Source organism: Homo sapiens, chromosome 12, assembly GCF_000001405.40.
Source record: "Homo sapiens chromosome 12, GRCh38.p14 Primary Assembly".
In the NCBI taxonomy this organism is placed as follows: Eukaryota; Metazoa; Chordata; class Mammalia; order Primates; family Hominidae; genus Homo; species Homo sapiens.
Window position 1 is genome coordinate 43,932,533 of NC_000012.12, and position 23,847 is coordinate 43,956,379.

Below are 23,847 nucleotides of genomic sequence, written 5' to 3' on the forward strand. Positions count from 1 at the left end.
TCCTAACTCACCTTAAAGTACATCAAAAGAGTCCTGGACTCTGCCTTCAAACTGTTGTGTGACTATTGGTGGGTTATTTGAGCTACTTACACCTCAGCTTTCTCATTTATTAATCAAAGGAGTTGAAATACATTATTCTTGGATATTACTAAGGGATTAAAAAGCATAGCAACTTAAAATTAACACCTGTCTATGATACTCCTAATCTGTCATTTAAACTTGTATCTTATGAATTATTAATATATTTTAGTAAATCTATAAATGGAATGGGTAGAGACAATAGCACATTTGCAGGTACAAGACACCAGTCTGAAAGACTTAGAGGACTTGTGGAAAGTCGTGAATGAAAATCAAATTCAGGATAAAAGGGAGAGTCAGAGAGATCTGAATGCATAGGTACAAATAATAGCAATACTGTAAATGTGGATGACATGGCAGAATCTTGGCCTTGGCATCCACCCCTTGTGATTGATCAAGATTGCTTAAGACCATGGAAATCAGCCTTCAGGGGACTATTCTTGACAATTTAACTTTTCCTTCTTAATTGCATTAATATAATGCCTGAAGTTAAAGGAAAACCTATTTAAAATCGTTAAGTATTCTTGTTTTTTAATATTGGTATCAGTATAATGATGAAGATGTAAGAATTTAATAATGGTAGTAATATTAACTTTTTTTTTTTTTTTCGAGACGGAGTCTTACTGTCGCCCAGGTTGGAGTGCAGTGGCACGATCTCGGCTCACTGCAGGCTCCGCCCCCCAGGGTTCACGCCATTCTCCTGCCTCAGCCTCCCGAGTAGCTGGGACTACAGGCGCCAGCCACCTCGCCCGGCTAATTTTTTTGTATTTTTAGTAGAGACAGGGTTTCACCGTGTTTGCCAGGATGGTCTCGATCTCCTGACCTCGTGATCTGCCCGCCTCGGCCTTCCAAAGTGCTGGGATTACAGGCGTGAGCCACTGTGCCAGCCCAGTAATACTAATTTTTAACAATTGGGAACTATACTTTCTATCTCATTGCCCATTTCAAAATACAGAATTTCCTTTTTTTATTGAGATGGAGTCTCACTCTGTCGCCAGGCTGGGATTCAGTGATGTGATCTCGGCTCACTGCAACCTCTGCCTCCGGGTTCAAGCTATTCTTCTGCCTCAGCCTCCCGAGTAGCTGGGAGTACAGGCGCGTGCCACCACACCCAGCTAATTTTTGTATTTTTAGTAGAGACGGGGTTTCACTGTGTTGGCCAGGATGGTCTCAAACTCTTGACCTTGTGATCCGCCGGCTTCAGCCTCACAAAGTGCTGGGATTGCAGGCGTGAGCCACCACTCCCGGCCCAGAATTTCAATAGTGACAATCTCTAATGGTTCAGGAAATATTTTGTTTACTTTTACTTGAATTATAAAAATGGATTCAAAGAATTTTGATTATTAAATGTTGAAATAATGTTTCTAATATAATTATTTTAAACCTATTATAGCTAGTTATGTCATATTAAGTTAAGTGATATCAAATTGCTGATGTTTGGTGGGTTTTGACCTTAAAAATGCTATTTGATATAATTTCACTTAGTAGTAAAATATAGGCCAAATTGATTCCGTCAAAATTAGAGAACATAATATATGTATGCATAAATTAAGTGTGCTGATAAATTTTACCTTGGGCTACAAGGTAATATGTAGTATTAATATAGCATTCTTTTTATTTGATGGCTAACTTTTCCTTAAAAGGAAAACTAATAGATTCTAATAAATGAATACCTTTATTTCCTCTTGGAGTCATGTTTTTTCATGTTGAGCAATAAGCAATTTGATTTAGTTAAACTTGAGGATAGTTTAATGGAAAGAGCCAAATAGTAATAGTAAAATATAATATTCAGACTCTCTCAAATGGAAGGTTTATTACTGTGTTACTGAGACTAATTTATGTCAACATGTGTTTATTTAGTAATTTTACTAAACATTTATTTTAATATGCACACTTTTGAAATTGACATTAACTTTAGTTAAATTGACATTAAACTTTAGATCTGAACACACTATTATTCATGCTGTTTCTAACCATGCTTTTATTTTCCTTTTTTTTATAGAACCTCTTTTGAATTTCACATTGTAATCTTTGTTAGTATTATATGAGATTGTATCTCAATATTCAGTGTTTGATATTCTGTCAAATTCAGTGAATAGCCGACATTTCTTGAGTATGCTCCTATTCCTAATAAGAGATGATAACCATCTGCTCAATGTTTTTAAATTCTCTTTGTACCCTGAAATAAGATTTGATCTGAATATTAATGTAATGGTACTCTTAGAGTACAAAAGTTTTATCATCTTACATTTATTATATAAAGCCGTGTTTGTCTAACTAGACCATCCTAACCGCCATAATGATACTCTGGTGTAGTTTGTTAGATAACTTTGTTGATGTCCCATTCATGGAATAATTCTCATATTTTAGTTATTTTTATTCTGTTACCGTTTTTTATTTTTTATTTTTTTGTTTGAGGCAAGGTCTCACTCTGTCACCCGGGCTGGAATGCAGTGGCATGATCATGGCTCACTGCAGCCTCAACCTCCTTGGGCTCAGTCGATTCTCCCACCTCAATCTCTGGAGTAGCTGGGACTACAGGTGCTCCACCATGCCTGGCTAATTTTTTGTATTAGAGACAGAGTTTTGCCAGGTTGCCCAGGCTTCTGTTACCAGTTTTTAGTTAGTGAATTTAAACAAAAATAGTCATATCATGTTTTTATAAACTATAAATTTACACAAGCTTGTGATGAATTCTTAATATACTTATTTTAGTCTGACCGGAAGTGAATTTCAATTAATTTTCAACTGCTGTAATCAAATTTCATTTTATCTTTTATTCTCTTCTTCCAGCCATAAGAAATAGGGATTACATTTCTTGTCAAGTATTCTAATATTTAAAATGTTAAATATTAAGTTGGCCTTTAAAGAATGTTATCAGTTTGTTACTTCGGGTTCATTTTATATATTAGAGAAGCATACATTGAGAGATAAAATATAAGGAGGAATATTTTTTCTTTTAGTGGGTAAGGATAATATATATAGCAGATTTTGAGCTAATCTCTCACTGACAAAGCAAATCATAAATCTCGGAATTGGTCTGGATCTTAAAAGTCATGTAATCCAGCCCTTTAAACTATGCTTGGCAATGGCCATTTCTCCTTGTCTGCACTGAAAGGAACTTACTACCTCCTGAGAGAGTCCATCCCATAAGCTCTTTCTATAATCCCAGATATAAAATATTAACAAAGAAGACAACTTCCCAGAGGAGATCATTTCTGACCTGCATTCTAGGCTTTATAGGAAGTAGAGCAGTTAGTTGAGTTATGGAGAAGGAAGGAAGGTTATCCCAGGCAGAGGGTTCAGCATGAGCATAGAAAATGCAACTGCTTAGTGTTCATGGAAACAGAGTGAAAGGATGGGAGTGGTGAGGGAGGAGAGGGAAGTATGGGTCAAATTAATTCATGCCTTGTATACCATGTTAGGGAGCTTGGATTTTATATTACGGGAGAATTGTGATTATTGAAAGTTTTTTTAAGTGAAGGGGTGACTTGATTTGACCACATAGGATTTTAGTCAGATCTATTGGCTCTGTGGTGGATGGATTTGAGATGGAAAAGGTTGAAGTAAGACAGGCCAGTTAAGAGGGCATCGCAATAGGTCTTATCAAAAGACAGTGAGAACCTAAATTATGAGAGAAGAGTTTGGATGTAAGGACATAAAATGATAGGACAATTGATTGAAATGGAAGGTGTGTAGGAGTAGATTTAGGGATGGGATAGGTCAAGTTGCAAATAGTGGCATATTGTATGTTGGGGCAGAGGGTAGGGATTTTGGCTTTGTTTTTGTCTACTGAGTTTGATTTCCTGGTAGGATATCTAAGACTATAGTGGGCAGCTGACTTCCAGTGTGAAGCTCAGGAGGAAAAATTTCTACTGGAGATATGGGATGTTGAAACCATGGGAGAGGATGAGATCATATAGTGATATGATGAAGACAAGGACTGAGGACAGACCATGGCACATCATTATTTATGGGGTAATTGGAAGAAGGGATGCCCAAAATGGTGACTGAGAAAAATCAGGAAAATAGAAAAAGAATGGCATATTTGGTGTTAGGGAACCCAAGGAAGTAGTATCAAAAGAGACGGAGAACAACTGTTAGGTCAGATGCAGCCAGGATGTCTTGCCAGTTAAAGACCAATATATTTATTCCGGATTTGGGAGTGGTGGAGGTCAATGCATTTGCCAGAACAACTTCAGTGGAATGTTTGCATGGCAAGTAAGATCTCGGTAAGTGGGTGTGATAAAGATTACTCTTTCTTGAAGTCTAGATGAGAAAACAAGGAGAATGGGTGGAAGTTCAAGGACATTGTTTTTAGGATCAACTTAAGAGGCCTCAGAGGTGGAGAAAAAAGAATGAGGAGAGAGGGAGAGATCAGATATACAAAGGAGTGAAAGGATGGCTGGACCAAGTCCCCCAAGAGAGGAGGGGGTGTGGTTTTAAAAAGGCACAGGTAGGGTCTTCTTTGGGAGGAGTGCTCCATCCTTTGAGGAATAAGGGAAGGAAGTTAGGATAGTCATGAAGGTAGATAAGTAGATGAATGTGAGCAGGTAGGAAGTTGAGGGAAAATAATGTTTGATGACAAGGATGTCTTCTTGAGGTTGAGACCAAAGTCATATTCTAAGAGTGAAAAGGGCTTAGTGGGAGCTTTGAGATGAAATTTGAAATAGATATTAAGGAGAACAGGAAAGAGAATTGACAAGGATAGGGAAAGGCATTGATGCATTAATGTGCAGTGCTGTGATAGCAACTAAACTCTGGATCATGATTGTGTAGTGGCTTCTCAACTGTGTTGTGCAACTTTTTTCCACAGTAGTCAAAATTGGAGAAAACGAACTGTAGCTGTACATCAGAGTTGGGTGTTTGCTGGGGATGTGTAAGACAAATATAGGGTATACAGAAATGTATGTGGTGTTGATGAAAAGGCTGATAAGGAAGCAGGAGCTTCTCGCCAAATAGGAGGGAACAGAATTTAGGAGGTGGCTTATAGATGGGGAGAAAGTTGGGGAGGAGAGCAGCTTAAAGAACTGAACGGCTCAGAGGGCAACTATAATAGGACCTAGATGTAGAAAGATAGGATTCCATACAGTGGAATATTATTTGTTCATTTATTTGTATAGCCTTTTTTTTTAAAATCCACTGGACAAATAACTTAAGACATACTGTGTGCCAGGTACTATGCCATGAGGACATAGTGGTAAAGAAGATCAATCTGGTCTCTACTGTGCTACAGTTTATAGACAGGTGTAGCACACATATAGTAGACAAAAAGTATACATATCTTTGGGTCTCAGTGTTATAGACCACAGGCTTTTAGGCTCCCGTGTAATAGAAATTTACATAAGGCCAAGTAGATTAGCCAGACAAGGCTTTATTTTGCGGCTTGTGCTCAAGCTCAAGGGAGACAGTGGAGGTAAAAGAATTCTCTGTCTGGCTCCCTGAAAAGAGCCCGTAGGGATTTTTTATTAGGCAATGTGCAGGAACTGACATCAGGGGGAGGGTGTGCAGGCTGGGCTGGGTAGAGCATGTGAGGGCTGGGGTATGCAGGACAGCATATCTAGTTGTGATGGTTTGAGGTAATGGGCCACCTAGTGGTCTGGCTGGGGGCAACAAGGCTATATTATATATTATTATATATTATATATTATATTATATATTTATTATATTTAATATATATATTAGCTAATCCTAAGGCTTAGTTAAATTGCTCTTCATAACTCTGGCTAGGGTAATTGCTTCAGGACCCAAATGAGCCCGAATAGAATGAATCTCATAATTTTCTCTAGAAGTGCTAGGGCAAAAGCGTTATCTTTTCATCCATGGACAACAATGAAGAAGCAGCCCTCAGGTTGTTATGGTCATCTTGGGACAACAAAGGGTGTGTGCATGTGTCTTGGGGGAGAAAGTAGTGGGAGCCTGCTAGGATAAGACGCCACACTGAGGAAATGGAGCTGGGAAATAGAGATTAATCAAGTCTTGATAATATTATCTGAGTGCTGGATCAGGCTTTGCTTGAAGTCATTCTATGCCTTTAGTTAAACTAGTTCTACAAAAATTTTGTTTAGAGAACAGACATGAGAAAAAAAGATGGAAAATGTGAGAAGGGCCGGGCATGGTGGCTCATGCCTGTAATCCCAGCACTTTGGAAGGCCAAGGTGGATGGATAGCTGAGGTCAGGAGTTCCAGACCAGCCTGGCCAGCATGGTGAAACCCCATTTCTACTAAAAAATACAAAAATTAGCCAGGCACGGTGGCGTGTGCCTGTAATCCCAGCTACTCGGGAGGCTGAGGCGGGAGAATCACTTGAGCCCAGGCGGTGGAGGTTGCAGTGAGCCGAGATTGCTCCATTGCACTCCAGTCAGGGTGACAGAGTGAGACTCCGTCTCAAAATAAAAAAAAAAATAAAAAATAAAAAAAGAAAAGAAAATGTGAGAAGGAAGCCAATAAAGAATCCTTATAATTTAATCTAGTTTAAATTTAGTTTTTGTTTTCGCTTTTGTTATTTGCAACAGGAATATTACTGGTATGTGGAATGCCTGCTATGCTGATTTTTTGACTATTATATCTTTTGACTCCAACAAACCAAATATACTCCTTTAAGTAGCTGCAGATTCTATTTGTTTCTTGTATATATGGGTGGGCCAAATCATATATAGGTTGGCCAAATCATATATAGGTTTTAGAGCAGAAGACTTAATGGACAGTAGTGTTAATTTCAGTTTGGAGTCCTCTTGAGGAATGAATCCCTTCATTTGTCCTTTTATATTTCCTAGTCAGGGTCTTATGTGTAATGCCATACTTTTTCCTCTAAATTAAATCTTACTCTGAGTTTTTGCTTACCAAGGTAAGCAGAGAGTACAATATTAATAATATTTCACATCACCTTTTCTATCACTAAGGTTTTATAGGAGTTCCAGGGCTACAGTTACTGAAAAGACTCCTTTAGCTTGTTTTTACTTCTGCATCCCTTCTCCTACTGCCACTTCAGTAATGGTCTTCTACCACTTTGGCACAATGACTCAGACTAAGGTGCCTGGGATCTACTCAGGTCATTGTGCACCTAATAGAGGTGGGTGGCTGCCCTAACTGGCACCATTCCCCTGGGACTAGCTTAGTTTGATAACTCAGACTTCCAAAGCCATGTGTATTAGTCTGTTCTCATTCTGCTAATAAAGATATACCTAAGACTGGGTAATTTATAAAGGAAAGAGATTTAATCGACTCTTAATTCCACATGGCTGGGAAGGCCTCACAATCATGGCAGAAGGCAAAGGAGGAGCAAAATCACATCTTGCATGGCAGCAGGCAAGAGAGAGCTTGTGTAGAGGAACTCCCATTAATAAAACCGTCAGCTCTCATGAGACTTATTCACTACCACAAGAACAGCACAGGAAAGATTCGCCTCCATGATTCAGTTACCTCTCACCAGGACCCTCCTACAACACTTGGGAATTATTACAATTCAAGGTGAGATTTGGGTATCAACATGACCCTTGATACCTTGGCCTTGACCAACATTCATGTAGTCATCCCCAAATGAGGCTCTGCCACCTTGGAGACCTAAATGCTTGTATTCTTTATGAACCCAGAAGCCCTCGGTCTATCTGATCCCTGCTTTAACAACCTTCCAGAGGTAGGGCTCCCCACATCTCCTACCTAGAAACACAAACACTTCTCCTTCTCCTCTGAGACTCTTTAGTGTATTTCTTTGCACAGGCTCCATGTGAAAATCACTCCTAAAGAAAAGGGACCTAGAACTCTCAATTTAAAAAGTCTAGCAGTGAGGTAGAAAGGAAATTCTTCTTTCCATTCTTTTGGTGAAGAGAACACAGCAGCAAAAAGGCCAAGAAACCAAGTAGTTTCTCCATAATTCTCCCTGTCACAGTTGTCTACCTCTATTTTCCACAACATATGTTTGCTCATTTTATATACACTTTTTTTTTTTGAGATGGAGTTTTGCTCTTGTTGTGCAAGCTGGAGTGCAATGGTGTGATCTTGGCTCACTGCAACCTCCAACTCCCGGGTTCAAGTGATTCTCCTGCCTCAGCCTCCCAAGTAGCTAGGATTACAGGCGTGCACCACCACGCCTGGCTAATATTTTTGTATTTTTAGTAGAAACCGGGTTTCACCATGTTAGCCAGGCTGGTCTCGAACTCCTGACCTCAGGTGATCCGCCTGCCTCGGCCTCCCAAAGTGCTGGGATTACAGGCATGAGCCACTGCACCTGGCCCATAATATATACTTTTAAATATGCTTTTATATCATTAATCTTGTTAGAATTTTATGACATCTTAGTGATCCTAAACCTACTGTATTTCCAGAAAAAATTCTGAAGTTCTAGGCCATTTCACCTGACTTTAGCCAACATTCATAATCATCAATCCCTGTGCCCTCCCACCCTCTCCTTCACATATACAGGTTTGTGTCCCACTTTAATGCTTTTGATTGTTCTAAGCTGTATTTTCTAATTTCTTTGACTGTATTGAAGGTAACAGTCTATATACTCCAAGATGGATCTTATTAATAACATAAATACACACTCAGATTTACAAATATTCATATATCTGTGATTAAAATAGTCATGTTTTTGGCCATGTCAGAAATGTATCCCTCTTAGTGATGTTTTCACTTCTGTTGGCCTGTAAGGATTGTTGTCACTTGGTTGTCTCCTGAAACTCCTCTAAAAGAAAGTCATAAAATTCTGAATTCTGGGACCTATAGACCTGTAGGAAAAGTGGCACATAATTTATTTTCCAAACCAGCATACCTAAGAAAGGAAGGGGTTACTATTAATAATTATGCCAGGACAACAATTATAAACCACTACTGTCCCAGGGAAACCACATATATAGTCACCCTAAAGGGCAGAGACAGTGTATTTCCATCTGACATCCTCAGGCAGTTCCAAGGTTCTTGGTCTGATTACATTGCATGGGAGAAGTCCTTCATGAGAACAGTAAGCTGAGGGCAGTCTATGTGTATATGTTTCTAACATTCGAGGGTTACTTACAGAGTTAACCTTTAAGTAGCTTATGGGAAATTTTTATAGTACAATTTGACTGAACACTTGGGTCATACTAGTTCTGGACTTAATATTTTGCAGCACTTTTATTGTTCTCTTCAAATGAATTTCAAGTCATGTTAACCTGCCATTTTGTTCTAATGACACTAATGGCTGAAATTAGTGGCAGACGATGAGCTTGGCAGTGACAGCATAAATGGTACTGCCACATCTCTCTTTTTGCTAACTTTGTATTATTTCCACCTGTGTACAGTTAGTCCACAATGTTTTATTTGCAAAGCACTGTTAAATCACCAGCATTATTATTTGACTCTTAACATACATTTGCTAGTGAATGTGTTTGACATATGCTTATGTTAAGAAAGAAATTTACATTTAAATCTTAAAGGAACTCTAATTGCCGGTCTTTGAAGTGCTTCATTATCAACTGCTGAATTAAATAAATAGGTCTTGGTCTAAAGCTGAAAGGACTTGCAGCAAAGGGGCCCCTGAACAAAGAGAGCCCATGAGTCCAAAGTAAGGTCACAATTCCATTAAATACTCAGATGATAATTGACTTCAAGCACTGTCCTGCATTGCTTACAGTTGAATCTCCAGCACCTAGAACTGTGTCTGGCATGTAATAGGCACACATTAAATATTTGTTCAATGAATGAATAAATATTCTTTATAGTGTAAAATATTTGTAGCATGTGGTTTTACTCTCAAGCATTCTGTGGTTAATATATTTTTTTAATATTCTTGTCAGTATGTTGTGTGGAGGCTTGAAAATCCCTGGTTTTTCATAATTATTGATTAAATTAATCAGCAGTTTCTATGATCTTATAATTTGTGGGGGCTAGTATCATTTGTTTTAGTAGAACGTTTTCCACTTTCTTCTTTTAGTTATACAGTCACATTCTCCCTGACTTTCAGTTTTAACCTTTGCTTCTCTTGGATAGGCCAAGAATCCATGGCATGATGTAACCAAATCTCCTCCCCGCTCTTTTTTTTTTACTCTTCATCTCAAGTTTTAGCTAGGATAATGTTTCTGTTAGCCTAGTTTCCAAATGAAATCTAAAGTACTGTTTTCATAAAGGTGAGATATAAGGAAAAGTTCAATAGTTAAATCTTAAAAGATTATTTCTTCCTATGCTCAGTGAGATATATGAGAGATACTGTTTGTCGCTAGAGAGATAATTTCCAGATAGAAATACATACATATATTTCATAACTGACATATCATTAAAAAAGGGAATATTTTCTAACGTAAGAAATTTTAGGATGGGCGTGGTGGCTCAGGCCTGTAATCCCAGCACTTTGGGAGGCCGAGGAGGGCAGATCACGAGGTCAGGAGATCGAGACCATCTTGGCCAACACGGTGAAACCCCGCCTCTACTAAAAATACAAAAAATTAGCCAGGCATGGTGGCGCATGCCTGTAATCCCAGTTACCTGGGAGGCTGAGGCAGGGGAATCACTTGAACCCGAGAGGCGGAAGTTGTGGTGAGCTGAGATCACGCCACTGCACTCCAGCCCAGCAACAGAGCAAGACTCTGTCTCAAAAAAAAAAAAAAAAAAAAAAAAAATTTATTGTAAGATTCAGGTCTACTCTACTCTATTTTAATTGTAGTTCCTATATGCACATCATCTCCATTATTATTCTTAGGAAAGGAGGTAAGTATAATAGACACGGTTTATCTTGGGAGAAGCCAGGGTGACCTATGCTCACTTCTTTCTTACTCCCAAGGTTTTTTACCTTCCTCATCTTTCAGGGTACTGGTGCCATCATTTCTCTTTACCATAAATCAAAACATTTCTCTGATCGAATTCTGATATTAGTAATTTTTACTTTAGTGTTCATCTTAATATATGTTTCTTCCTTAAAGTGTTTGCATCTTAACATTCTCTCTAACTTTAGCATTTGTCTTCATAAATGGAATTTTATCATCAGGGTGAAAATTATGTTTTGCCAGGAGCCACACCAAGCTTCATTAACACATACATTGTCACCTCTCATATGCACTTGTGTTTGTACTTGTACAGGGGCATGTTTGTTAAGAGTGAGGCTAAGCTGCATGTTTTATAACAGAGACTTAATTTTTTCTTTCAAGTTTTCATGTACCTTAAACAATTAGACCTTGTAAGTAAGGTTGGCCTTGGTTTTATCATCTGGCCAGTATTGGGAATGGATCTATAGAAGCAAAGGGAAACGATATAGGATTCATGCAACTTCTTTACTGTTCGCTATGAACCAAAAACATATTTGTAAAATAAAAAATAGCAGGTAAGTAGGGCTGTAATTCATCTTGTTTTCATGCTAGCATGATGAACTATCTCTGAACACTAGATTCTTGGATTAGTAGTATTTACTCTAGGATGAAATGTGATATGAGGATCGTCTTCGACTTTATTTATGATCACTTATTTACAAAACAGCAAAAAGAACATTATATTGTGGCTTCACTCATAAGGCAGTCTTATGGCAAAGACTTCAGAATATAGTGAGACATTAAAAGATTCATTAAAATAAAGCAAAGATCCATGAATTTTGAGTTACAGTGTACATTAATTTTTAATAATATTTGTATTTCAGGTCAGTTGCTCCGATTAAAAATGTTTCGAGAAGATCATGGGTCGTGGATGACAATGTTCTTCAGCACAATTCTCTTTCTCTTCATATTTTCTCACATATACAACACGATTCTTCTAATGGATGGGAACATGGGGTAGGTTTTCTTTCCCCTTTCTACTGTGGTGAGTGTTATGTTTGAAACTTGTAAGAATTTAAGAGTTTTTTAGCTTGTAGTAGTCTAAGTCTGCTTTACAAATATTCTACCCTAAGAAGAAGGAGTATTTTATGTATTTTTCTTACCTAAGACATTAACATTTTTTTTTTCCAGGAAGCATATAGTACATTACAATATTTAGATTTTGTTCTTTATCCTTTAGGACTTTTATATAGGGTGGTGGGAGGGCAGGTACTAATTTCATTATACTGACAAGGGGGTATGAGAATCAGGAAATCTTATTGATTTGCATATATTCAAATGATTCATAGAGTGGGGCTAAGATGAAGGTTTCCAGGTTTGCAATTTCATTGGTCTGCAATGCCTGGCTAAATAAAAGTGGTACAGGAGGCATTTTCTTTAACTCTCTTGACAGTCCTGAGAGAGAGAGACCTTTGTTATAAATAGGTTGTTTTAAAAGTGGGCCACAGCTGGGCATGGTGGCTCATGCTTGTAATCCCAGCACTTTGGGAGGCTGAGGCAGCGGATCACAAGGTCAGGAGATGGAGACCATCCTAGCCAACATGGTGAAACTCCATCTTTACTAAAAATATAAAAATTAGGTAGGCGTGGTGGTGTAGGCCTGTGGTCCCAGCTACTTGGGAGGCTGAGGCAGGAGAATTGCTTGAACCCAGGAAGCGGAGGTTGCAGTGAGCCAAGATCGTGCCACTGCACTCTAGCCTGGCAACAAAGCAAGACTCCGTCTCTAAATAAATAAATAAATAAATAAATAAATAAAGTGGGCCACCCTGTATTAACTCCTAGCTTGTGATATATACTTATCAAATCACTAAGACATGAAATATGTGCCAACAAGTAGTTGTATAATTTTTCTAACTTTCTTCACTTCTTTCTTTCATTATATAATGAAACACAAGGATTGGTCTTTCAGTATAATTTCCTCTTGGTTTGTTCTCAGTAAGTTTATTTGAGAAGGAATCTCGCTGTTGTCAGCCAGGGCTGGAGTGCAGTGACGCGATCTCGGCTCACTCACTGCAACCTCTGCCTCCCGGGTTCCAGCAATTCTCCTTCCTCAGCCTCCCTAGTAGCTGAGATTATAGGCGCCTGCCACCACACCTGGCTAATTTTTGTTATTTTTTAGTAGAGGTGGGATTTCACCATGTTGGTTCGTCTGGTCTCGAATTCCTGACCTCAGGTGATCCACCCGCTTTGGCCTCCCAAAGTGCTGGGATTACAGGCTTGAGCCACTGCATCTGGCCTGCTCTCAGTAAGTTTTAAGGCCGGAATGTAAGGAGATTGGCTTAGTATTAAAATTAGATTTGTGACAATAATAAACCACTTTAGGTATTTGTTGTGTGTTGAAATAGTTACTGAGAAAGATTTTGATCTATTTTCCCCAATAGATCAGAAAGTTAGGTAATATCCTTTTCTTCTAAATGTAGGCTAGGCAGGATTATTGTCCAGTTCCATGGGAAACATGGAACTGTTTTGATGTTACGTATAGATTTTGGCTACCATTGTTCAGTACTGAGAGGGAAGCTCATTTAGAATTTCATTGTTTTTCCCTCACCACTAAAGGAGATGAATAGCAAAGGGAAAAATACATTTCACATGTTTTATATTTTAGTTTATACTAACAAGTGATAAATTCACGAATGTGATTTTAGATAAAATGTTCAGGCTTTAGAAAGTTATTAAAATACTTTGTAATTATTTCTTGGACTTAGAATGATAGTTTTAATACCAGGTCTGTTTTGAAGGCTGTAACCTATGGCTAGTCAGAATATGTCTCAGCCTTGGAGCAGTGCCTGTAATACTAGAATGGGTAATGATTGGAGTTAGCTAACACAGCCAAAGGTTTCTCTGTGAGTTGTTTTTGAACTCAAAGCACTGAGAGCAGAAGGAGAAGGAACCTCTGTGAAAACTACATTTTAAAAGCAATTGCTGGAAATAATACATGATATAATATATAAAATATATCTTCTGCTCAGAAGCTGACTTTTGATATAATTCTGTTTTTTTTTTTTTTTTGTTTGTTTTTTTATCTAGAGCTAATGAGGTCTGTGCTAACTGGAAATGCTTATTCTGAGGAAGGGAGCAGATTTGAAAGCAATAAATTAAATGCAATAAGTAATTCCTTGTACTCTGTAAAGCACTCAATAGCTGGAAATAAAATGAGAGTTAATAGTTGTTGAACATTTACACCAGGCATGAATTATCTCAATTAAATCTCGCAGTGACTCCATGGAATAGGAGTTATTACCTCCATTTTGCAGATCAAGAAACTGAGGACTAGAGACATTTTGCCACTTTGTTGTTTAAAGGAGAACACAGGTCCGATTGATGGTTGACCCTGTTACTCATTCACCATATCCTATTAGCCTTTCTCTGTGTTTTATTATTCAAGCTGAATTTGACAATGAAAGAAGCAGGAGATATGCTTAGGAAATAAGAGAATAGTTAGCCTAGAATTTATGTGTAGCCTAACTAAAATTGAAAGTGGTCTTTTTTATTCTCAGACTAAATACAATCTTGCAGATTTTTAGGTAACTGTTGAACTCTTCACCATTATGCCTCATCTTCATAGGAAAAGCATCGTTTACTGAGAGGATATATTAAAGGTGCCACATTTTAGAAAAATTCAAAGCAAGGGACAAATGGTTTAGTTCTGCAGAAAAAATAAATCAAGGCTGAGCATGGTGACTTATGCCTATAATCCCAGTGCTTTGGGAGGCTGAGGCAGCAGGATCACTTAAGGCCAGAAGTTTGAGACCAGTCTGGGCAACAGAGTGAGACTTTGTCTCTTACAAAAAATAAAAAAACTTAGCTGGGGGTGATGGCACGCCTTGTAGTCCTAGCTACTTGGAAAGCTGAGGCAGGAGGATTGCTTGAGCTTGGGAGTTCAAGGTTACAGTGAGTTATGATTGTGTTACTGCACTCCAGCCTGGGTGAAACAACAAGACTCTGCCTCTAAAAAGAAAAATAAAAAATAAAAATTAAATCACCATTTATAAAAGATGTATAATTAACTTTTATGACACATCATTTGATCAAGTGAGCACATTGAAATAGGAGTGTAAACTTGGAGGAAAATCAGTTCTTAGAGCAAGTGGATACAACTGTGCTATTGGGGTTGTCCTAGAAGACACCATGTTTTCTGAGGTATTGCTTCATCCCATGTAGCACAGGGAATGATGGAGCCAGAGAGTGCAGAAAGGACAGTGAGCACACAGACATCACAAGTAACTGGTTTTATGTCAGAAGATTCTTGGTAGTAGAGAGGAATTCAGGATTCTTTACACTGAATCTCATTTGCATTACACTGAATTTGTGGGGAGTCCAATGTGTCTTTGTTTATAGGTCTCTCTAGGAATACGGGCCTAGAATTATTTCCAAAACAGTTTCAAGAATATCCTATGATGGCTAGATCTGTGTTAATGTATTTTAGGATTCCTTTCCAAACTGGAGGAGTTCAGGACTAGAATGAATGGTGAGTGGCTGTAGGGTTTCCAAGGGGAAGAAGGAGTTTTCTTAGACTGGTCTGCATTTTGTGTGCATGTATGCCAATTTTAGGAATGGTATAAATTTAATCTAAACTGGGGTCTCATGATCTCTTACTATAGAGAAAAGAATCCCTAGGTTTATCTAGACCGGAACCTCAAGAGTTTTTAGCCCAGAGTTGCCTGGCTCCTGTTCTTCTCATTACAGTGGATTCCCTGAAGTATGCACTAACTCTTATGGCTTTAGACATCTCTGGGGAGCCAAGCTGAAAGGCAGTCAGATGGAGAGGGAAAGAGGTAAGTTAGTTGGTTGAGCTAAAAAGGATCAAGGCTCAGACAATCCATATTTGTAGCACCACGAGGAAAAACCTTGTCTCAAATTTGACTCTCTTTCTGCACCTCTGTTCCTTATACCACTAAAATGCTGCTTATTGTAACCTCCTTTATTCTTTTTTTTTTTGAGACTGAGTCTCACTCTGTCGCCCAGGCTGGAGTGCAGTGGCATGATCTCGGCTCACTGCAAGCTCTGCCTCCTGGGTTCATGCCATTCTCCTGCCTCAGCCTCCTAAGTAGCTGGGACTACAGGTGCCTGCCACCACACCCGGCTAATTTTTTGTATTTTTAATAGAGACGGGGTTTCACCGTATTAGCCAGGATGGTCTCGATCTCCTGACCTCGTGATCCGCCTGCCTCAGCCTTCCAAAGAGAACCTCCTTTATTCTTTAAGTCACCAAGATGTAACTAAACTCATCATTTTATAAATGTTGAGGGTTCTGCTGAGGAGAAGGTGCTGATTCTGGGCATAGTTTTGCATGTAGCCATTTTATGAGTAACTTCTTTTTTTTTACAAGGTGGCAGACTAGGTAACCTGAAGCCTTGCCTACTACAAAATCTTTAGAACAGCTGGAGGAGATAATGCAGCTTGGTATACTCCTTTAAAATGCATAGCTGAGTTTACCCAAAGGTCAGGAAAAATCCCAGAGGACAAAAATGCAGAAGGATCTGAAAACTCGGGCGGTAAGACTAACAACTGATTGATACTGAGATGCTCAGTGGAGGTGACTTAGGCACTTGAATTTTAACCCTTATGTAGGGACCAGAAACAAGGATTTGGCTCATATTAATTGAAAAATTGAAAATAGAAATTTCCACACAGATGATCCCGCAATGGGCTACAGTGGGAGGGGGAGGTGAAATGGAAAACATGTAACTGTTAGCAGCACTGAATCCATCGGATCTGCAGCAAACTGGATTTTTGCCTTGTTAGAGGAAAGAATTCAGCTAAGGGACATAAGGCAGAGTGAGAGACTGAGACAAGTTTCAGAGCAAGAGTGAGAGTTTATTAAAAATTCTAGAGCAAGAATGAAAGGAAGTACAGTACACTTGGAAGAGGGCCAAGCGGACAACTTGAGAGATCCAAGTGCCCCATCTAACCTTTGACTTGGGTTTTTATACATTGGAATGGTTCTGAGGTTTGCATTTCTTCTCCGCTGATTCTTCCCTTGGAGTGGACTGTTTGCATGCTCAGTAGCCTGCCAGCACTTGGGAGGTGCTGCATGTGCAGTGTGTTTACTGAAGTTGTGTGCATACTCATTCAAGGCATTTTTCCCTTAGCAGTCAAGTGTTCCCAGAGGAAGGTCATATACTAGTTAAACTCCGCCATTTTGTCAGTTACTGCACATGCTTGAGCCCACTAGCCCAACTTCTGAGATCTTGTCGGGAAGCTGCTGATCACCAAGAGTTTGCTATCTGTTGGGAGACTGCCTTTCCCTGGCACTGGCTGCGACCAATTATTATTTTGGAGAGACTGTTTAATGACTGCCTATCTCCTGATGGTAGCCTGACATTCCTGAGGAGGGCCCTCTCCTGCCCTGCTCATGTCTGCCTAGCTACCTACTCCAACAAAACCACTTAGCACAGGCAAGCATCAAGGAAGCTTGTACTTAAACTGGGCTCTGGGGGAAAAATATCTCCCGGGGAACTGCTACCATAGGTGCAGTTTTGTGATTTTAATATACAGTTTCCTTTGGATTTTAGAACCTCAAAACATCCCCAGCTATTCTCTTCTCCCAGTTTCAGGTTCTTACTTTTCTCTGGACACCCCTCCCCAAATAACTTGAATTCCTGTTTTATTATGTAGAGCAATTTAGTTTCCTTTTGCCTCAACTTCTATCCACTTTGATTTATCAAGGGCTTTTCTTTTAGTGAAAAAAATCATATTGATGCATTTTCCAATCAAAGGAACCAATACTCTGATTTGCTGCTTTCTCAGAATATGAAAGTGTTGACCTAAAAGGAAGAAACTGAGGCAAAATTAATATAAGTAGAGTTTGTTTAGGCCAATCTTGAGGACTGCAACCCAGGATCATAGATTCAAATGGCCCTGAATATATGCTTCAATTAACAGCAGTTATAAGTGTTTTGTTAAAGGAAAAGAAGAGGCAGATTTTGAGCTGTTCACCAAGAATTTACATTAAAATAACACAAGCTGTTGATTGGCTATACAGCTGGTCAGGAACAAAATGACTTTAAACAATTGCCCCCAGGCATGGGTGATGGGTGTGGTGGAGGCTGGGGGTGGGGTCTTGTGGGGTTGGGGGCAATGACTGAAGTTTCATACTCATGTCTTTCTGGGCCTGAGTACCTCACATAGCTCAGACTGCTCTGAACTATTTTTTTTTTCTCAAAAAAAAAAAGTGTACTTTTGTTAAACAGTCTCTCCAAAATAATAATTGGTCGCAGCCAATGCCAGGGAAAGGCAGTCTCCCATTAGATAGCAAATTCCTGGTGATCAGCAGCTTCCCGATAAGCTCTCAGAAGTTGGGCTAGTGGGCTCAAGCATGTGCACTAACAGACAAAATTTTTTTTCTCAAAAGAAATATTTTCCTCAGTATTTTGGCTTTGTTTTAGAAGTAACAATTGTCCTTATTTTTGTAAATTCTACTATCAGTTTAATGATCTCTTGTGGAACAAAGGGAAGATGGTGGGAGGGGCCAAGATGGCCGAATAGAAACAGCTCGGGTCTGCAGCTCCCAGGGAGACCAACACAGAAGGCAGATGGTTTCTGCATTTCCAGCTGAGGTACCCAGTTCATCCTACTGGGACTGGCTAGGCAGTGGGTGCGCCCCATGGAGAGTGAGCAGAAGCAGGGTGGGGCATTGCTTCACCCAGGAAGTGCATGGAGCCCAGAGGAGTGGGGGGACCTCCCTCCCCCAGCCAAGGGAAGTGGCGGGGGACTGTGCTACCCACCAGGGTTACTATGCTTTTCCCATGGATTTTTGCAATCCATGAATCAAGAGATTACCTTGTGAGCCTACACCACCAGGGCCCTGGGTCTCAAGCACAAAACTGGGTGGCTGTTCAGGCAGGCACTGAGCTGCAGGAGTTTTTTACATACTCCAGTGACACTTGGAACTCCAGTGAGACGCAAGCGTCCACTCCTTTGGAAAAGGGGCTTAAGCCAGGGAGCCAAGTGGTCTTGCTCAGTGGCTCCCACTCCTATAGAGCCCAGTAAGCTAAGAACCACTGGCTTGAAATCCCCATTACCAGCACAGCAGTCTCGAATCTGCCTGGGATGATCAAGTTGCCAGGGGGAGGGGAAGCGCCATTACTGTGGCTTCAGTAGGTGGTTTGGGAGGTTTGGACTGGGCAGAATTCCCCGCAGTGCAGCAAAACAGCTGTGACCAGACTGCTTCTCTAGATCCTTCCTCAGCAGGCAGGGCCTCCCTGTAGAAAGTCCACCAGCTCCAGTTAGGGGCTTACAGACTGAACTCTCATCTCCCTGGGACAGAGCACCTGTGGGGAGGGGTGGCCGTGGTCTCAGGTTCAGCGGGCTTAATCTTTCTTGCCTGCCAGCTCTGAAGAGATTGATGAGGGCTCTGATCCTGATGAGGGCGATTCCCTGAGCACAGCACACCAGCTCTGCTAAGGGACAGACTGCCTCCTCAAGAGGGTCCCTGACCCCATGCCTCCTATCTGGGTGAGACCTCCAAACAGGAGTCAGCAGACACCTGATGCAGGAGAGCTCTGGCTGACATCAGGTTGGTACCCCTCTGGGAAGAACCTTTCAGAGGAAGGAGCAGGCCGCAATCTTTGCTGTTCTGCAGCCTCCACTGGTGATAACCCAGGCGAACAGAGTCTGGAGTGGACCCCCAGCAAACTGCAGCAGACCTGCAGAAGAGGGGCCTGACTGTTAGAAGACAAACAAACAGAAAGCAACAATAACAACAGCAACAACAACAAAAAAGACCCCACAAAAACCCCATCCAAAGGTCATCAGCCTCAAAGATCAAAGGTAGATAAATCCACAAAAATGAGGAAAAACCAATGCAAAAATGCTGAAAATCCCGGAAGCCGGAATGCCTCTTTTCCTCCAAATGATCACAATATCTCTCCAGCAACAGCACAGAACAGGGCTGAAGCTGAGATGGATGAACTGACAGAAGTAGGCTTTAGAGAGTGGGTTATAACTGATTTCACTGAGCCAAAGGATTATGTTCTAACCCAATTCAAAGAAGCTAAGACCCATGATAAAACATTACAGGAGCTGTTAACTAGAATAAACAGTCTGTAGAGGAACATAAATGACCTGATGGGTCTGAAAAACACAGCAAGAGAACTTTGTGATGCAGACACAAGTATCAATAGCTGAACTGACCAAGCAGAAGAGAGAATATCAGAGCTTGAAGACTGTCTTGCTGAAATAAGGCAGGCAGACAAGATTAGAGAATAAAGAATGTGAAAAGGAATGAACAAAACCTCCAAGAATTATGGGACTATGTAAAAAGATGGAACTTACAACTGATTGAAGTACCTGAAAGAGATGGGGAAAATGGAACTAAGTGGAAAAACACACTTCAGGATATCATCCAGGAGAACTTCACCAGCCTAGTAAGACAGACCAGTATTCAAATTCAGGAAATCCAGAGAACCTCAATAAGATACTCCATGAAAAGATCTACTCCAAGACACGTAATCACCAGATTCTCCAGAGTTGAAATGAAGAAAAAAATGCTAAGGGCAGCAAGAGAAAAAAGCCAGGTCACCAACAAAGGGAAGCCCATCAGACTAACAGCAGACCCCTAAGCAGAAACCCTGCAAGCCAGAAGAGACTGGGGGCCAATATTCAACATTCTTAAAGAAAAGAAATTCCAACCCAGAATTTCATATCCAGCCAAACTGAGCTTCAAAAGCAAAGGAGAAATAAAATCTTTTTCAGACAAACAAATGCTGAGGGATTTTGTCATCACCAGGCCTGTCTTGCATATTTAGTGCTTCCTTCAGGAAGCACTAAATACGGATAGGAAAAACCATTACCAGCTACTACAAAAACACACTGAAGTACACAGACCAATGACACTATGAAACAACTACATTAGTAAGTCTGCAAAATTAACCAGCCACCATCATGATGACAGGATCAAATTCATACGTAATAATATTAACCTGAAATGTAAATAGGCTAAATGCCCCATTAAAAGACACAGAATGGCAAGCTGGATACAAAGACAAGACCCACCGGTGTGCTGTCTTCAAGAGACATATCTCATGTGCGAAGACACACATAGACTCAAAATAAGGGGATGGAGGAAAATTTACCAAGCAAATGGAAAGCAGAAAATAGCAGGAGTTGCAATCCTAGCTTCTGACAAAATAGACTTTAAAGCAACAAAGGTCAAAAAAGACAAAAAAGGGCATTACATAATGTTAAAAGGTTCAATTCAACAAGAAGAGCTAACTATCCTAAATATATATGCACCCAATACAGGAGCACCCAGATTAATAAAACAAGTTCTTAGAGACCTACAAAGAGACTTAGACCCCCACACACAATAATAGTAGAAGACTTTAATACCCCACTGTCAGTATTAGACAGATCATTGAGACAGAAAATTAAAAAATATATTCAGGACTTGAACTCAGCTCTAGACCAGGTGGACCTGATAGATATCTACAGAACTCTCCCCCCCAAAACAACAGAATATACATTTTTGTTTTAGCACCACATGGCACTTACTCTAAAATTGATCAAATAACTGGAAGTAAAACACTCCTCAGCAAATGCAAAAGAACTGAAATCATAACAAAAGTCTCTCAGACCACAGTGAAATCAAATTGGAACTCAAGATTTAAAAGCCTACTCAAAACCACACAACTACATGGAAATTGAACAACCTGTTCCTGAATGACTTCTGGGTAAATAATGAAATTAAGGCAGAAATCAAGAAGTTGTTTGAAACCAAAAAGAGCAAAGAAACAATGTATCAGAATTTCTGGGATGCAGCTAAAGCAGTATTAAGAGAAATGTATAGCACTAAATGCCCACATGAAAAAGCTAGAAAGATCTCAAATTGACACCCTAACATCACAACTAAAAGAACTAGAGAACCAAGAGGAAACAAATCTCATAGTTAGCAGAAGACAGGAAATAAACAAGCTCAGAGTGGAACTGAAGGAGATAGAGATATGAAAAACCCTTCAAAAAATCAATGAATCCAGGAGCTGGTTTTTTGAAAAAAAATCAATAAAGTAGATTGCTAGTGAGACTAATAAAGAAGAAGAGAAGACTCAAATAAACACAATCAGAAATGATAAGGCGGATACCACCACTGACCCCACAGAAATACAGACAACCCTCAGAGAATACTATAAGCAACTCTATGCACATAAACTGGAAAATCTAGAAGAAATGGATAAATTCCTGGACCCATAAACCCTCCTAAGACTGAACCCAGAAGAAGTTGAATCCCTGAATAGAGCAATAATAAGTTCTGAAATTGAGGGAGTAATAAATAGCCTACCAACCAAAAAAAGCCCAGGTCCAGAATTCTACCAGAGGTACAAAGAGGAGCTGGTACCATTTCTTCTGAAACTATTCCAAACAATTGAAAAGGAGGGAATCCTCCATAACTCACTTTATGAGGCCAGCATCATCCTGATACAAAAACCTGGCAGAGATACAACAAAAAAAGAAAACTTCAGGCCAATATCCCTGATGAACATTCATGCAAAAATTCACAATAAAATATTGGCAGCAGACTGAATCCAGCAGCACATCAAAAAGCTTATCCACCACGATCAAGTTGGCTTCGTCCCCAGGATGCAAGGCTGGTTCAACATACGTAAATCAATAATGCAATTCACCACATAAGCAGAACTAAAGACAAAAACCACATAATTATCTCAATAGACACAGAAAAGGCTTTTGATAAAATTCAACACCGCTTCATGTTAAAAACTCAATAAACTAGGTGTTGAAGGAACATGCCTCAAAATAATAGGAGCCATTTATGACAAAAAACAGTCAATAACATATCAATAACATACCGAATGGGCAAAAACTGGAGGCATTGCACTTGAAAACTGGCACAAAACAAGGATGCCCTGTCTCACTACTCCTATTCAACATGGTGTTGGAAGTTCTGGCCAGGGCAATCAAGCAAGAGAAAGAAAGAAAGGGTATTCAGGTAAGAAGAGCGGAAGTCAATTTGTCTTTGTTTGCAGATGACATTATCCTATATGTAGAAACCCTATCATCTCAGCTCAAAAGCTTCTTAAGCTGATAAACAACTTTAGTGAAGTATCAGGATACAAAGTTAATTTGCAGAAATCACAAGCATTCCCATACATCTACTGCAGACAAGCAGAAACCCAAATCATGAATGAACTCGCATTCACAATTGCCACAAATGAATAAAATATCTTGGAATACAGCTAACAAGGGAAGTGAAGGACCTCTTTAAGGAAAACTACAGACCGGTCAAGGAAATCAGAAAGGACACAGGCAGATGGAAAAACATTCCACGGTCATGGATAGGAAGAATCAATGTCATGAAAATGGCCATACTGCCCAAAGCAATTTATAGATTTAATGCTATTCCCATTAAACTACCGTTGACATTCTTCACAGAATTAGAAAAATCTATTTTAAAATTCATATGGAACCAAAAAAGAGCTCGCATAGCTAAAGTGACAGTTGTAAGCAAGAAGAACAAAGCTGGAGGTATCATGCTATGATGCCTTTAAACTTACTACAACACCACAGTAATCAAAACAGCATGGTACTGGTACGAAAATAGGCACGTAGACCATTGGAACAGAATAGAGAACTCAGAAATAAACTCGCACATCTACAACCATCTGATCTTCAACAAACATGACAAAAACAAGCAATGGGGAAAGGATTTCCTATTTAATAAATGGTGCTGGGAGAACTTGGTAGCTATATGCAGAAAATTGAAACTGGATCTCTTCCTTACACCTTATACAAAAATTATCTCAAGATGGATTAAAGCCTTAAATGTAAAACCCAAAACTATAAAAACCCTAGAAGACAATCTAGGCAATACCATTCAGGACATAGGCATGGGCAAAGACTTTATGATGAAATTGCCGAAAGCAATTGCAACAAAAGCAAAAATTGACAAATGGCGTCTAATTAAACTAAAGAGCTTCTGCACAGTGAATGAAACTATCATCAGAGTGAACAGACAACTTATGGAATGGGAGAAAATCTT

General features: G+C 39.6%; 1 protein-coding gene across 10 annotated transcripts in view; it reads left to right on the top strand.

Moving 5' to 3' along the window:
* Positions 1 to 23,847, top strand: part of TMEM117 (transmembrane protein 117) — a 603,307-nt gene that overhangs the window by 136,731 nt on the left and 442,729 nt on the right. For 8 of the 10 annotated variants that reach the window (XM_047429662.1, XM_047429665.1, NM_032256.3 and 5 more), the window contains one exon: positions 11,678 to 11,810. The exons of 1 other annotated variant lie outside the window; for it this stretch is intronic. In XM_047429662.1, coding sequence (XP_047285618.1) covers positions 11,678 to 11,810 — 133 coding nt within the window. Of the gene's footprint in view, positions 1 to 11,677; positions 11,811 to 23,847 lie in introns of those variants that run through there. One more of the 10 variants, XM_047429664.1, reaches the window with a different exon arrangement.